Source organism: Homo sapiens, chromosome 13 (genome assembly GCF_000001405.40).
Source record: "Homo sapiens chromosome 13, GRCh38.p14 Primary Assembly".
Lineage (NCBI taxonomy): Eukaryota > Metazoa > Chordata > Mammalia > Primates > Hominidae > Homo > Homo sapiens.
Genome location: NC_000013.11, coordinates 40437032 through 40453941, shown reverse-complemented (window position 1 = coordinate 40453941; position 16910 = coordinate 40437032). Strand labels below are relative to the sequence as shown.

The 16910-nt window shown below is 42.9% G+C and overlaps 1 long non-coding RNA gene across 3 annotated transcripts in view, besides 3 other annotated features; it reads left to right on the top strand.

Annotated features, from left to right (window-relative positions):
- LINC00598 (long intergenic non-protein coding RNA 598) overlaps positions 1-16910 on the top strand; it is a 133873-nt gene that overhangs the window by 27063 nt on the left and 89900 nt on the right. Inside the window, exon 6 of one of the 3 annotated variants that reach the window (NR_024507.3) lies at positions 2739-2878. The exons of 1 other annotated variant lie outside the window; for it this stretch is intronic. This is a non-coding gene — a long non-coding RNA (long intergenic non-protein coding RNA 598, transcript variant TTL-B2). Of the gene's footprint in view, positions 1-2738; positions 3009-16910 lie in introns of those variants that run through there. One more of the 3 variants, NR_024505.2, reaches the window with a different exon arrangement.
- Positions 7677-8282: an enhancer, noted in NCBI's record as "H3K27ac-H3K4me1 hESC enhancer chr13:41019797-41020402 (GRCh37/hg19 assembly coordinates)". NCBI's record gives its function as "activates a minimal SCP1, AML or CMV promoter by ChIP-STARR-seq in primed H9 embryonic stem cells {active_cell/tissue: H9 hESC(primed)}" and the evidence as "EXISTENCE:reporter gene assay evidence [ECO:0000049][PMID:30033119]".
- Positions 7677-8391: a biological region, named in NCBI's record as "H3K27ac-H3K4me1 hESC enhancer GRCh37_chr13:41019797-41020402".
- Positions 8092-8391: an enhancer, noted in NCBI's record as "active region_7605". NCBI's record gives its function as "activates an Ori minimal core promoter by ATAC-STARR-seq in GM12878 lymphoblastoid cells {active_cell/tissue: GM12878}" and the evidence as "EXISTENCE:reporter gene assay evidence [ECO:0000049][PMID:35858748]".

Below are 16910 nucleotides of genomic sequence, written 5' to 3'. Positions count from 1 at the left end.
AGGTTGCAGAGAGCTGTGATCACGCCACTGCATTCCAGCCTGGGTGACAGAGCAAGACCTTGTCTCAAAAAAAGAAAGAACATGGTCATGCTGGAGCCAGCATTGGAAGAGATAAACCGCAAACCTGTCGGCTTCCCACATCAGTCTAATTGAGTTGTCTGACAGGAGCTGCCTGGAGGCAACTGAGAGGTAAAGACTATGTCTTCCTGTGCCAAAAACAATGGGGTGTTTAAAATATCCCCCAGGGCATTTTCTGCTCTGTTTTATTTGCCTGGTTAAGAATTCTGCTCCAAGAGAAACAGATTTGACGAAGATCCATGAAGTGAAATTCAACCCTATGTTTCATTTCCTACTTTAACACAAGAAGCTTGGCTTTTGCTTAGTGGGAAAAATTATTCTACATTCAGATGATACTGAGAGATTTCATATGTGTATCTATTTGCCTTCCCCCACCGTGGTGAAGCCAGTGGTTCCAAACACTTGAATCATCAATGGAAGGCCTTGTTAAAACACAGATTGCTGCTCCTCCCCCTGGGTTTCTAGGGTGGGGCCTGAGAATGTATATTTCTAGCAAGTTTCCAGGCAATGCTGGCACACCTAGGCCAAGGGATCCTACCTTGACAACCACTGCTCTAAGCAAACTTGCGAGTTCAGTGAAAATGCTTATAAAAGTTCTTAAATATCTTAGTTGTCTCATAACACAGTTTCTCAGGCATGTGAAAACTGGATCTGAAATGTACAGTTGGAAGCCCAGAATAACATAGGCTGATGGGGCAATCATAGGCAAGTTCCAAATTAAACAGGCTGATCAGTTTCACAGAACACACACCTGAACGACTCCAGTGAATACAGGGTTGGAGGCACCTCAGCTGTGAGGTAGGCTGTGTCATGACTGAAAGCTTGTGTGACATAGGAGTGTGTCTTGCCTTCCAAATGTGGGCTTCACTGCAGCACCTCTGGGGGAGGACATTGTCATGGCTCTAGGAGCTTATGGAAGGGCAACAGCACTGCCGTCCTCAGGCTGAATCACCCATGGCATTAGCTTTGTAGCATGCCTGAGAAGGACCTGGAAGTTATTTCTCAAGCAACTGAAACACACAAACACACATGCTTTTAAAATGCCCATTTTCTTGGAGCTGCCTCTTGTGCCACTTCTTATGGGACTGGAGGAAATGGCTTTGTCTCTACTACTCAGGGTCATGGTATAAAGAAGCTCATTTTCTTTGCCAGCGCTAAGCCTGGCTGAAGAGGCGAAGACCCTTCTCTCCAGCCTGTGCTCAGGAACAGACGGTAGCCTCCGTTACGCAAAGACGGAACTTCAGCAGATTTGTTATGGAACCCAGCACCAGGCTAGAACTTCTGCTGGTCAGTCTTCAGTGCAGGGGTCATACCACAGGGAACAGCACTCAACTTCCTCCTTCAAACTGTGTCCTGAACGACAGGACCTTCAAGCCTCAGGATATACATGGGAGGAAATAAAACTTCTTGATTCCTCCTGTGGCTGGGGGAACCATAGAGAGATCAGTCCCTTGCAACTGTCCCTGGGGACACTTACTGAGCTCCTGGACTGCCAAGTGCTGCTGGCTCCCCATCTGAATACTGGAACCAAATTCAAGCTGGTTTGTCTTTTACTGAGAAGCCTTTGAATTCTTTGAATATGTTCTGACTGGTGTCTAGCCAGTGGGAGATGTGATTACAGAAATTGATGGGCCTGTGGCACAGACTGCTTTCTGAAAACACAGGGTTGTGTATTTTGAAAGTGATTCCATAAATGCTTATTTCACCTGACTCCAGTTTTCTGTATGTGAAAGCAGTGGCTAATGTGTCAAATGAGGACAACCAAGCCATCAAGGTCTTTCCTCTGGAAGGTCACAGAAGAATTTAGGACTAAGAAAATGCAAGCATGTGAGACAATAGGGTTATTATTGTAAGATAGTCTCCTTTACATTTTCTTAAAAATTTTTTTGGTCAGGAATAGAGGGAGGGAGATAAAAGTAAGGTAAGAATTTACACTAAATTCAGAATCTGTGGTTACATCTACCTCTATCCTTCTTTCCTTGAACATCCAATTTTATCTAGCAGGTTAAAGCTAGGCATTTTAGACTTGAATATCATTCTTATAATTCTGAGAAAGAGCAACTTTAAAAAATTTATAAAAGAACAGCAAGTATGGATGTATAGAGCTATACCTTGTACTCTGTTAAAATACCAATCTTTGGTCAAGACTTTTTGGTGTATTGTTTCTTCCATTTTATTATTTAGCAATTGCTATTTTATTCTTGACTTAACGGTTTTATTGTTTATGTTTCTATTATTGTAAAATTCCTTTCATTTACTCAGTAATAAACAAATCCAAGGCAATGTAAATGATGTTTTCAACTATCTCCTTTTATCTATAATCTGCCTTCAATAGTGATGATGTGGTGTATTCCAGCTCTGTGGGTATTAAGATGGTTTTGTGTTCATTATTTTTGCTTGTGATGAGCAATATGATGGAAACCTAGAGAGAAAATTGACCCCCAAATAAAAACCTCTTTCAATATGGTAGTTTGGTGCTTATCTATGAGGTTAATTTTATTTCCATATCACAACTATTTTCAAGAAGGCCACTGGGAAGGATTTAATTATTTCGATGTAACTTATGAATCCCATGGGTGTGCGATGTCCGTGATGATGATGGAGTGCTGCATCATTTCCATAGTCTGGAGTGAATTAGGATGTGCTAATCAACCTTCCAGGTCATTCAAGAATGAGGTTGGAAGAGATCATTCTCCTGTTTGCAAATGAGAAACAAGTATAGGTGTGAAGAGACCTGTCCACAGCCATTCAACAAATGAAAAGTCCAATCGAAGATGGGACCTGATTTCTTACACCCCAGGTATCTGCTCATCATCTTGGGTAAGACCACAGGGACCACCAAGACACCCAGAAGAGACACTTGATTGTTTCCTGGATGTTCCAGTTTTGGGGCCCATAGATATATGCCATTTACTTTACATGCTTTCTAAGACTGGTTGGTGACATCATTCTTGCTTGATCTGCATGGGAGCCACTTGCAGGTGGGCAAGTTGGGCCAGAGATGTGGTGGTGATTATGTCAGAACAGGCAATCTCTGCTTTGCAATGGTGTCAGTCAGGCTTGCGTAGCTCATGGGACCAGCTCGCAATCATGCTTCTCCACCCAGTGATGACTACTTCTCAGTGGAACAGGTAAAGATGGCACCCCAGAGAGACAATTGTGTCATCTTCTAGAACTAGGTTATACTATTTTTTAAATATAAGAAAATCTTCGTAAATACGCAATCTCATTTTCATGGATTTAAAAACAAAAATGTACACCTTAGTGGTGAGGAATAGTCTAGCTGGCTGAACTAAAAATCAGAAGCTGGTGAGGCCTCTTCCACTATGAAGATGAAACCTCCAGACTCCTAAATAGGAGTCCTTTGCCATGACGATGGCCTAGATCGGTTGTCTCATCTCTTCTTTGGCTGTGTCCATTTCCCATTGTCAACAACGTCCACCCCAGCAGCCCATCTCACCAAGAAATTAGCATATTGCAATGAGAAGAATGTGGGGTCACAAACTACATAGATATAGGAAATTGGTGGGTCTGCAGGCAGAGGTCATGAACTTGTGACCTGTGGGCCACATGGCAGTATTTTAAAGGCAGTCACCAGGTACGCAACGTGTTTGCTCACAATGCAAGCACTTTTCACCTGCTTCCCTCCTCTGGCCCCTATTTCAGTCCTCTGTGTTCTCTGACTAGTTCCTACAGAATATTTGGGATCCCTGGTAGATTCATGGTGTCCAAAGCCAGCCTTCTTTAGAAGTTACTTTTCTTAGTTTCATCTCATTTCTGCTACTGTTGAGTCACAGCTCTATGTTTTTTATTTTTGTTGGAAAAGTCCCCTTTGTTTCCACGTATAGCAGTTGAATCCAGGCCATTCTAGCTTCTCAACTCCAAGACAATGGGCTGCACTGCTGTTTTTAGACTGTGGCCCAGTGGTATTCTAGAACTTTACCTCTTTACGGCATGGTTCCCCCTAGCTTCCATATTCATTCCTTGCTCCTCACCACCCCTTCCACTCCAGGCCTGGGTCATTTGTCTTTTGTCCCCCATGTCCAACTTGTTCCTAAATAATCTGTGACCCATTCAAATTAAAATTGGTAAAGCCTTCTCACTGCCATAAGCTTTATGTAAGATGAGTCTTGCCTATAACTACAAAGGATGTCTATTCCATATATACAACTGAAAGGTTCATATTCAACAGATATTACCTACTATAGAAGAGGCATCTAATAGGTGCTATCTCATATCTTCCTCCTTATGGCAATGGTGTGAGGTAGGGATCTTTATTGCCCAATGAAGGAAATAGATTCAGAGTGTTTTGGAAAGTTTGTGAGTTCACACAGCTGGTGAGTGGATGAGCAGTGGCCGGATTCACAAAGAGTCCCCTGATCCTAAGGCCAAAGCACTTTCTTAGCACAAGATCAAGGATCTGAGTGAAGGGGACACAGGCAACACCTCTTCCCCAGCTCCAACCTGAGGCAACTCTGTAGGGGTACCTGTGCCTAGGCAGGCCCTGTGAAGATAGGGATAAGGTGGGCAGCAGTTCCATTTAGTCCAGGCTGTAAATGGCAAGAGGCATCACTTTAGCCACTGTTCAGAAGCTAATCTAGGTAGAAACAGCAGGAGGCATCCTCACAAATATTCAATCTGCTCCCAAATCAATCTGCCCCTGAGAGCCTTGTCTCATCTGGAGGTGGGAGGAGAGAGATTCATGTGGTAGGAAGATGGCATGGGGAGCTAAAACTGCTGAGGCTTTCCTGAGGCTCTCTTGGGGTTCATGAGTTTGGGCCTTGGGCACTGGGGAGGAAGGGACAGTTAGGGAGTTTATTCCTCAGGGAGGATCTAGTCACATTTTGGCTGCATTGTCCTCCTTCTCAGGAGGCTGCACACAGAAAGGCAAAAGAAGGAAGAGGTTAGGTGTGAGGTGGTGGTGATGCTGAAATTGATTTCAGACGCTACAGGATGTAACCACACTTTTCTAGTTATAATTGCATGGGACAATTTTGGTAGTTTTCTGTGCTTATCAATGGCTAGGACTTCAGATTATTTTGAATTCCTTCAGAATCTTATAGAGTTCCAGACACTCACATATTCTTAATAAGTGTATATGGAATAAACAATTAAGAAATGAATAACGAGATGTCCCATTTCTAATTTTTAAATTTCTTTACTTTGTGCTCCTATCCAACAAATGTGTATTCAGCTTCTGCTGCAATTCATAGCTATGATCAAGACACACAAGAACCTTGCTCCCATGGAGCTTACATTGTAGGGGTGCAGAGAAAGATGTTAAATCTACAAACAACTAGATGAGAGAGTGAGACATGCCATCAAGAAAATAAATCAGGCAGTGGAATAGAGTGAAGGAGGTGGAGAGGCTGTTGTTTAGCTTGGGTGGTCAGGAAGGGTGTGAAGGGGCATGGAGGAACTAAGGTTTGGTTGGAAAGAAGGAACCAGCCTTGCATGGATTGGGAGAAACCTCAAATAACGAGGCAGACTGTTCCAGGAATCTATGTGGACTGAATGTACTGACATCACCTCTATTCATTTGCTAGGGCTGCAGTAACAAAGTACAGTCGACCCCCCTTATCCATGGCTTTGCTTTCTTCAGTTTCAGCTACCCATGGTCAACTGTGGTCTGAAAATATTAATAGGGAAATTCCAGAAATAAACAATAAGTTTTAAATCATGTGCTACTCTCAGTAGCATGATGAAATAAATATCTTGCTGTCTCACCCCATCCAGCCTGGGACCGAATCCTCCCTTTGTCTTGTGAATCCAAGCTGTAGGCACTACCTGCCTGTGAGACGCTTAGAGGCTGGCTCTGTTATCAGATAGCCTGGCAGTATCACAGTGCTTGTGTTCAAGTCACCCTTATTTTACTTAATAATGGCCCTGATCTGCCAAAGGGAAGCCGTAAGGTGATTCCTTTAAGTGAAAAGGTGAAAGTTCTTGACTTAATAAGGAAAGAAACAAATAGTATGCTGAGGTTGCTAAGATCTATGGTAAGAACCAATCTTCTATTTGTGAAACGATAAAGATGGAAAAAGAAATTCAAGCTAGTTTTCGTGTCTCCCCTTGAACTGCAAAAATTACAGCCACAGTGCACGATAACTTTTATTACAGTATATTGTTCTATTTTATTGATATTGTTGTTAATCTCTTACTGCATGTAATTAATAAACTAAACTTTATAGATATGTATGTACAGGAAAAACATAGTATCTATAGGGTGTGGTACTAGCTGCAGTTTTAGGTATCCACTGGAGTTCTTGGAATGTATCCCTCTGGAAATTGATTGTTCCACAGTTCTGGAGGCTGGAAGTCCAGGATGAAGGTGTCGGCAGGGTTCCTTCCTTCCTTTCTTCTTTCCTTCCTTCCTTCCTTACTTCTTCCCTCCCTCGCTCCCTTACTTCTTCCCTCCCTCCCTCCCTTCTTTCTCCCTTTTTCTTTCTTTCTTTTTCTTTCTTTCTTTCTTTCTTTCTCTTTCTTTCTTTCTTTCCTTTCTTTCTTCCTTTCTTTCTTTCTCTCTTTCTTTTCTTTCTTTCTCTCTCTTTTTCTTTCTCTCTTTCTCCTTTCTTTCTTTCTTTCTTTCTTTCTTTCTTTCTTTCTTTCTTTCTTTCTTTCTTTCTGTCTTCTTCTTCTTTCTCTTTCTTGACGGAGTCTCACTTCATCAAGTCACTCTGTCACTCAGTTGCCCAGGCTGGAGGGCAGTGGCATGATTTTGGCTCCCTGCAACCTCTTTCTCCTGGGTTCAACTGATTCTCCTGCCTCAGCCTCCCAAGTAGCTGGGATTACAGGTATGCACCACCACACCTGACTAATTTTTGTATTTTTAGTAGAGACGGGGTTCCACCATGTGGGCCAGGCTGCTCTTGAACTCCTGACCTCAAGTGCTTCACCCACCTCAGCCTCCCAAAGTGCTAGGATTACAGGCATGAGCCACCACACCCTGCCAGGGTTGGTTTCTTCTAAGGGCTGTGAGGAAGAATCGGTTCCATGCCTCTTTCCCAGCTCCTGGGGATTTGCTGCAATTTTTGGCATTTCTTGGCTTGTAGATCTCTGCCCTCATCTTCACAGGATGTTCTCCCTGTGTTTCCAAATTTCCCTTTTTTATAAGGACACTGGTCATATTGGACTAGGTCCTACCCTAATGATTTCCTCTGTAAAGATCTTATCTCCAAATAAGATCACATTCTGAGGTACTGGGAGATAGTACTCCATCCAGCATATGTTTTTGGCGGGGACACACTTCAACCCATAACGTCACCACTCATGAATGCCCTGGAATGTCTGTGTTACATGTGCTCACAAAAGTTTGTTTGGTTTTTCTCTTCTCTTCCATTATGTAGAATACCCTAAGGTATTTGAATTACCCACTGTTCCTCTTAGATCATTCCCTCCCAGCTGATGGAGGAACTTGGGAAAAGCTGCCAACCAACTCAATATTTTGCCTCCCTTAACTGGGAGATCACATTACTATGGGCAAAGTGCTCTTCATGCAAATCTCCATGGGTTTGAGGAAGAGGTCTGTGAATTCCAAATATTCAAGAGGGCACTGGGCAAGTGGCCCTACCTTTTTTCTTTCTTTCTTTCTTTCTTTCTTTCTTTCTTTCTTTCTTTCTTTCTTTCTTTCTTTCTTTCTTTCTTTCTCTTTTTTTTTTTTTCTGAGACGGAGTTTTGTTCTGTCACCCAGGCTGGAGTGCAGTGGCGTGATCTTGGCTCACTGCAACCTCAGTTTCTGGGTTCAAGTGATTCTCCTGCTTAAGCCTCCCCAGTAGCTGGGATTACAGGCACCCACCACCATGCCCGGCTAATTTTTTATTTTATTTTTAGTAGAGACGGGGTTTCACCATGATGGCCAGGCTGGTCTCAAACTCCTGACCTCAGGTGATCCACCAGCCTTGGCCTCCCAAGTGGCCCTGCCTTTTTAAAATAAAAATATAAATATAGGCTTTATTTCCTCTTTGGAACGCTCTAATCAAAACAAACTGGGCCACGCATGGTCACAATAACAGGTGGCTCGGGAGGTCCCTTGTGGCTTGCTGGCTGCAGACCTGGCCTCGTAGAGCCCGGGAGGGAGTGACATTGGCCCCTCATGCAGCGGGGCAGCCAAGCGTGCCTGCAGCTGGCCGAGGCCAGCTCTTGACTCACAGAATGACTAACAACGGGGAAGCGTAGACAATGGCGAGAACAATGTGGGAGAGTTGTTGCTGGAAGGAAGTGAGACTTGTCAGGGCTTCCCCCCAGCTGCTCACAAGGTAGTGCTTGGTGAAGCATGCCTTTCTCCTCAAAGTCTAAACAGGATCAGTGAAAACGTAACCAGCCCTCATGAGCCTGTAATCTGGGATTACAGGTGTGAGCCACTGCACATGGCCTGCCCCACAGCTTCTATGATGAGCCCCTCACCCCGTTTATACCACTTAAGTCTTCTCCTGGCCAGAGGTGATGCCCACACTGGGCCAGGCTGGGTCCAAGTGTGGAGTCAGGTCATCTTTCCCGGAGGGATTTACACAGAAGAGCAGGGGTCACACCCAGGGACACTGGGATGGGACGTCTGGCCCAGAAGTGGCTTCTGAACTCAATGCCCCGTGGTCTCTGTCACTTGAAGTTCTGCAACTCTAAATCTCTATTTTTATATATTTCATTGATTAAAGGCAAGAAACACTTAACTTTTGTTGAGTTTGAATAGAAGTAACTGCCCTTATATTTAACAGTGAGTAAATGTACAACGTTCCTTTTGAAATGAGGTCTTCTCCATCCCACTCGATTTCCCATATGGGAGTGTTGAAGGAATCTAGAATTCACTGTCTTCACAGTCCCCTTCACCTTGCTCAGAATCTATGTTGAAATTTTTAAAGTCCATTTTCTGTGCTGATTAAACTTTCACATGTTAGCCTTTGAGGCAGATATGGCATTTTGGTAATGTGGTATACAGATTACTGAATAATTACATAAGCTCTGGACAGCCACATTTCCTAACATGCATGTGCCTCTTCTCACGGGGCCCAGGACAATACTTCCAACTAAACAATTCCAAGAAGTTTTATTCAAATAACACTCTCTCTGAAGAATTTCTCCTGTTTAATGGGAGCTAGGGGATATAATTAACTTGAACACTTGATTTGGAATAAGACAGTAGAGATTTTAGAAATTGAGGGATTTGAAATATCAAACTCACTCCTAGGATTTAGACCCAGACAAGAAAAAGCTTAAAAATAAAAACAACATTACAATTATTAAATTTATAGTCCAAATTTAGATATGTGTAATGAATAGTCACTTTTTTTCTTCTTATCTGGAGGCTGAACAATCCCGAGCTGGGATTTTTTTTTTCTTTAATATGAAAGAAAAGAAAAATTAGTGTCTGGGAATGAAGGGTACTTATGACCTTTCTCCAGCCTCCTGGAGTGATGTTTGGGGACCTTTGCTGAAGTAAGTAGAGTTATTCATGTTGAAGACAGCTCGAGAATGAAGCACACAATTACACGGGGAGAAGAGATAAGAGAAAAGAGATCCATTTATTATTAGAGTCAACCTTTAGAGAGTTGTTGTGCTTTTTGAATGAACTTATCAGTGACAAAAAGTTAAAGTGTAGAAGCAGAAGGCATTTATTCAGATGGTATCTTTCACATCGTGAAATAATGTTATAAAACACAGAGGGCTTGGGCCTGGGAATTTCTGAGCCTGTGTCAAGGTTTAATTATTGGATTTTTATCAAAAATCTGCTTTTTTCCTGATGGTTTCAGGCTTCAACTAATGAGAGATTATTTAAACGTGCTCTCACTGAGGGTGCCAAAAGCAAAATTTTCAGCTGGTTCTAAAACCATCTTTGAACGTGAACATGGTCCTACGGCAGCTACTTGGTTTGAAGTCCCTCCTTTCCAAGTGACAGCATTCACACAGCATTTACTGTGGACAGTTCCCTCTGCTTGGGGTACATCTATGCAAATGTGTGAGACTCCCTGGGCTGTGCCACCTTCCATAAACAGTCCCTGCTCACCCTTCCCCTGCAAGCACATCATTGGAAGTCACCAGATAACCAGAGGCCGACAAAGAGACAAAAGGCCTACCCTGACTGCAGCACTAGGTCCCTTGCTTATCCTACTCCTTCAACCAGGAACAGCACAGCCCCTTTCTTGGCATATGTTTTTTACTTTCATGAAACTGGCCCTAAATGATACACCAGGCACCCACTTGGGTTCAACTTCATGGTTCTCAGTAGAAGTGGAAAATATGAGGGGCTGTGTTCACGTCAGTTAATTCTGTGATGGGTGCTGTGAACTGGGTTTGTCCTCAGGGAATCAGGAAAGTGGCCACCCAATTCAAGTATCTTTTAACAAGATATATAGGCCTTCCAAGATCTCTAAGACATTCTAAGATCTATAGCACATTCTAACATTTTAAAGCACAAGGTTCTAGAAATGTAAGAAAGGAACTGTCTGAGAATATATAGAGAAATACCATGGAATGACTTAATAGTTTACTAAGGCATATGTGCATGCATCAAAGGAGAACATAAAGTAAATGCTGATCTATCTAGAGTGTGGGTCTCATGTCCAGCCCAGGACTCCTCACTAGGGTGTTTATTGGTGATCCTGAAAGCTGTCTTGGACACAGTGGAGAATGAGTGTGTACCTGCACACACACACACACACACACACACACGATAGGTGGGGTGGTAGAGAAGGTGTCCCTTTTTGGCTTATCAGATGCACCTTTACTCCTCTGAGTCTCCCCTGATCCATGGACCCTTGTGCCTAATCACAGTTAAGCTCACTGTATTGGAGCTGGTATACTACACATTCCTGACCTGTGCCTGTAGTTATTCGGAATTCAGGCAGCGTTTTCCTGCCCTGACTCATCTTCATCGTTTTTTGTAGCGCTTATCATTTTTTTCCCATTTACCATTGCACTAGTTGGTGTCAAAGTGGGAGTCAGGAGATCCCATGCCATGTAAATGCACTCTATAAAATGTCCATGTGATGCCTGTGGATGCCTGTTACAGCATTAACGAGAGGGGGTGTTTAACCCTTCTCATTTTCTGCTGCAGGGAAAGATGTCACTGGGCTGAAGATGACAAGAAGATGTTTCCCAGTTGCTCACAAACCCTTTCCTCTGTGTTGTTCCCATCTTTACCCAGCTCTCTCTGCTGTCTCCCATTGTTAACTGGTCCCTGAATGCAGCAGCTGGAGGCATAAACTGCCTTTTTTTTTTTTTTCCCGACAAAAGGCATCTTAACACGGGCTTTGCTGCTTGAGTTTTCATTCTTCCCATGGTGTGGGTTACATCAACAAATTCTAACTCCTGGGCTGAGAAGGAGCCAAGTGGAGGTGCTGATGGAGCAGCATGCAGCATATGCCCTTATTTAACCTGCCAGTCCTTATCAGAGTGCATGTGGAGATGGCTGGGGTCATCCTGCCATGCTGCCCATCAGCAAGTCCCCAGGGCTGATCCTGTTACTATTAGGAAGTGGCCGTGCTGAGTGACGAGACACCTGGCAGGTCTCGCTGACGTGTCTAGCCCCATTCAGGACACCTTTTCAGCCTGACCAGTTGCTCCAAGGTGATGACAATTCAGATAAAATTCTTGTTCACAAATTCTTTAAATCAACTGAAGTAAATTCCAGACTATTGCCAGAAGTGAGGGTGCATTAGAAATCTCTGTGTAGCAAGCACTGGTATTTCTCATTGAGCCTGATAAAACTCAGAGCATATGGCAGGGAATCAACCACACATTGGACTTGAGATGTATTAGAACCATCCTTAAGTAGAGCCTTCTTTGAGATTGATTCAGAGTCTTGCTAAAGTGTTAATTTGCAAACTTACTCTTCTAACTATTTAGCAAAAGCGAGGGAAAATTTATTTATTTATATATTTTTACAAACAAAGGTTAATCATGTTGGATAATTTTTTTCTTTATAGGAAGGCAATCAAACAAAAGCAAAATTTAGAAGACTCTGTGTTCATGTTTGCACATAGATAACAGGGCCAAATCTGCCTCAAAGATCGTATTGATGTGATTCTTCATAGCCAGCCTCTCTCACCTTTATTCAGTGCGATTTGGGAACTACTGTATAATATTAAACTGATGGAATTGGCCCATTATGTCAAAGGACATCTGTATGTACACAGTTATTACCACACTTTTTTCCTGGTATAAACTCCTTAGTAAGGACAAGGAGCCACAACATCATGCTAATTTTTAAAAGCATTTAGATGGTGAAGCCATTATCTGTGATGGTGAAAACATGTTGGTATGCATTTAATGGTTAGGACCCTTTATCTGCAAAGGATACTTACAGGCCCAGGGCTCAGGAAACTCAAAAGGAAAGCTCCAGTTCCCATATCGAGTTGCTTGCCAGCCCTTTGGTAAGCCTTGGCAGGCTTCCACCTGTGTCCTGCCCTGGTCTGACCTCCAGAGCCTGTCAGTGCTGGCACCCTCTGAGTACGAGATGGGATGAATGGCCAGCGGCTAGTGCCATCTGAGACTTCAATCAACTTGATACCAAAGGTTAATCTCTTTCACGGGAATCACCTAATTTGTTATGGCCTGCAAGTACTTTCTAGCAGAAGCCTTTTTTCCTATGACGCCGTTTGGCTCATATGTTTAGGTATGCCTCAAGACCTCTAATAGTGTCTAAAATCTCCTGTTTGGGGAGTAATCCCTTTCCCCCTTTTTACATAGATCTTGTTCCTCGGTCTTGGGCAGACAGCATTCATGGGATTCTCTAGTTTAAGATCTTAACATGCTCTGTTTCTTGGATGTTTGGAAAATGTTTATTTGAGAGACAGAGACAGGAATGCGTTTTAGACTTTCATTCCCACTGGGCACAGAGAAATCTGATAGTGATAGAATCTCACAAATAGCTTGAGATATTCCATATCCCTCAGGAGGAGGCTGTTGCGATTTTTATCAATGAAACCTGGCTTGCTCCAGTCCATCTAAGATGATCAAAATGCTCACTCAGAAAAGCAGAATGTTACGTTGGCAATTCCCCTTTCGCACAATAAAATGAGCATGTTTTCTTCACCTACTTTCCTTTTCTTTCCTACAGCCTTCTCCTTCCCTTGGAGTTTGATGGGGTCTGATGCCCTTCTGACCTGGGAGGCTGTTTGAGGAGTTGACATTGCCTATGGGGGCAAAGAGGGGAAATGGGAGCAGAAAACAGCCTGGGATGGCCAATTGCCTCCTTTATCCACAGAAAATTGAAACACTTCAATTAAAAGGAACCATTAGAACAAGAGATTTCCATCTATAGTGTTGTCCCATATTACCAGAATGTGTTAGAAAGATGCTCCAAAACACCCGAGTAAATGTTGCCAGCATGATTCTTGGGGCTGGTGACCCTGGGTCTCAATCCCATGTCAACAAGTTACTTGTCCCCGAGTGACCCAGGGCTAGTCTCTGAGCCTCTTTAAACTTCATTATTTAGTAACTTTAAAACGTGAGTGACTGGGCCAGGCACAGTGGCTCACACCTGTAATCCCAGCACTTTGGGAGGCTGAGGCAGGACGATCACTTGAGACCAGGAGTTCAAGACCAGCCTGGGCAACATGGTGAGACCACATCTTGCTAAAAAAAAAAAAAATTAAGAAAAAAAAATGCTGCCATAGCCCTGTGGGAAGTATCCAAGATACTCCAGTCAGTAAAGGTCAGGGTCAGTTATTTGGAGGTGGAGCAGATGACAGGGCTGAGCCTACACAGCCAATTGGTCAGTTCCAGGGGTCTGGCAGCCAAGAGCTGATTGCATTGGTTTCAATTTTGTGCTACTGAGCAGTGCCTCATGGTCCAGTTTTGGTGCAGTTGAATTTGTGGAACTGGCTGTATCTGAATCTGAGGATTTAGCCCCTGCTGGCTGCTGTAAACATGTCCCTCTAGTTACTGAGCCACTGGTGTGTGGCTTCTTGCCTAATTCTGTACACCCTAGGGATGGCTTTGACCCTTAGCAAGGTGTCTTGGAGAGCTGGATTTCCAAGAAAGACCTCAGAGCTGGAAAGGGCCCTGGATCTTGCATGGTGGCTTTTCTCCAATAATAACATAGAGTAAAGGGGGCCCATGATAGGCAAGGAGAGGTGGTGCCAGAAGTGGTAGACTGCCTGGAAGTCTAAGATCCAGGGCTGAAGCTTGTCAGGAACACAGAGAAGGCGTGGGAGCAGGAAAGGCCTTGGAGGAGGGGCCGGTGGGGGGAAAACATGCAGGTAAGATTCCTTATGAGAGAGCTCCAGGCCTCATGGAACAGGTGTCCTCAGGAGCTGCAGCAGCAAGCACTACGGCTCTGCAGTTTAAAAGCCACCTTCTAGCTGAACGTGAGGCTAGTTATGAACCTTACTGTGTCTCAGCTTCCTCCTTTGTAAAGAAGGAATGATAATCTTACCTTGCTCATGGGGCCATTGAGAGCAGCTGATCCACATACATGGCTTAGGGCTGTCTGCGGCACAAAGTATCTCTCTTAGAAATGTTAGCCGTTACGTTTTTTACGGGAATGGGCCTAAGATTCTATCTCTGTGTATTTCTGTCATCCTGATCATGGGACTATCTCTTCTGCCAATCTCTTTTATTTGCTCCACTCTTTCCTTCTGCTCAGGAATCTTTAAAATCCTAATCAGAGGTATTTGTTAAGTAGTTAATTGTATGTGGCTCTCGGCTCCGTGGAGTATAATGATCAAGCTTGTTTCCTGAAAGTGAAAGTGGTTTTCTGAGCTGTCTTGGAAAATATGTGCCTGCTTTTCGGGCCCACTATTCTGAGACCAGTAGATGCTGAACAGAAGCAGGGGTGCTTTCTCTAGAGTATAAGTCAGTAATAGCAGAGGTCAGGGAGCCGTTGCCAAAGGGCTAAAGAGAATTTAGCCTGTGAACTAGATAGATAATTCTAGTTCAAATCAATGCTTAATAGAATGACAAAAGAATAATTGAAATATGAATTTAAGGGCAGTCAGATTTAAAAAATTATAACTGTTCCAGGTCTTAGGTGATCACTTTCTAGACATGAGGAACTGTGATATTCACCTCTTTCTTTTGGAAGATTATTGACGTCAGTGCTGACAGATTTAACTGTTGGTTTCAGCAAACGGATGTTAACAAAATGGACTTTAATAAGTTTATCTAAATTCCAAGAAAATCTCCAGAGCATGGGGGCATAAGCAGCAAAGGGGTTCTGAATTCCTGGAGGGTTTTTTTTTTTTTTTTTCAAAGGAGAATAAAATAGAAGAACACAATAAGATACTTTCTTTGGGCTCAATGAAAGCTGAGAGAGGAGGAAGAAAACAAGTTCATGTAGGAGAAAGATGAAATAAAAATGTGAATTCAGCAAAAAGAAAAGGAAACTGGGGCAGACTCCCAAGCAGCATACACTGCGGTGACAAAGACGTGGAAGAATTAAGGTCAAACTAGCAAAAGCAGTTCACAAGACACCACTTGCCAAAGACAAACAGGGCCGTGAGCAGGCACAACAAAATGTGACCTCTGTTCTTTATGAGGCAGGGATGAAGAGCTGATAATAATGCCATCCACCGAACAGAGATGTTTGATGTCCCTTTAAAAACCTTCTATACTTAAAAAAAAAAGAACAGGAAATAGGACAGAAGGCTCGGAGGGTGGTGGATGATGTTTCAAATGGGTTAAGGGTATTCAAGTCAGAAGTCTTAGTGTACTTACATTTCAGGGTATGAAAATGAAGTAGCCAAAGTCATTTCCAGAATGAATTTGTGCAATGGGGGAGGAACCCCAAAATTGTAAAGAGCTGTCACATCCATATACACCCGTACACATTAGTACACACACACACCACACACACACATGAAGGTTTAGGCAATAAACCCTGGGAAAAGTCTCCAAGTAAATTAGCAAGCATCTTGAATAAAATACGGTTCAGGGTAAAAGCCTTCATACTTAAAATGGGTGTCTCTGTCTAAGAAACTCTCTTGCTCTGTAGAGGGAATGGCTTCTTGGTCAAGGGGACTCACTGGATATCTTTAGGTTTCAGAGGGACCCAGTGACTGTCCAAAATGATGCTGATCAATAAACTAAGCAATACAACCAGACCAGCTACCATATGTGTTTGCCCTTTGTTCTGGACTGAGCAACTTTTCATGCATCGTGAGTTCTCCAGGTCTGATTTGCCACTATTTTTCCCAGTTTAACATTTTTTTTTTTAAGAGAAGGGTCTTGCTCTGTTGCCCAGGCTGGAGTGCAGTGGCACATTCATAGCTCACTGTAACCTCAAACTCCTGGGCTCCAGCAATCCTCCCACCTTAGCCTCCTAAGTAGCTAGGATTACAGATGAATGCCACCACATCTAGCTAATTTTAAAATTTTTGTAGAGATGGTGGTCTTACTATGATGCCCAGGTTGGTCTTGAACTCTTCTCCTCAAACAATCCTCCCACCTCAGCCTCCCAAAGCTCTGAGATTACAGGCATGAGCCACCTTGCCCAGCCTCCTGTTTAATTTTATAGTAGAATGTATTAGAAGAGAAATGAATTTCATGCATTGTATAATGATTTAGCACTATTACAAAAGGTATTGAAATGTATGATGAGATATGAAATGAATTTTTATTTGACAATAATATTTTTATTGACTGTTAACAGTAACCTAAAAACCATCTAATAGTTTTCACAGGCTTGAAGTAGAGTAGGAATTTTAAAAACTGTATTTTTTTTACGTTGTATTTACACTTTACAGAAATGAACTAAAGAAAGCCAAATATTAGTGAATATGCAACAGTTTTTCCTATTTTTTTTGTGCTTTTGATCAGCATTGTATCAGATTTTCTAATGGGGAAATTCTTGCAATATTGTTCTCACCTACCCTTTTCAGTGAAAATTCTCAAAACCTCTC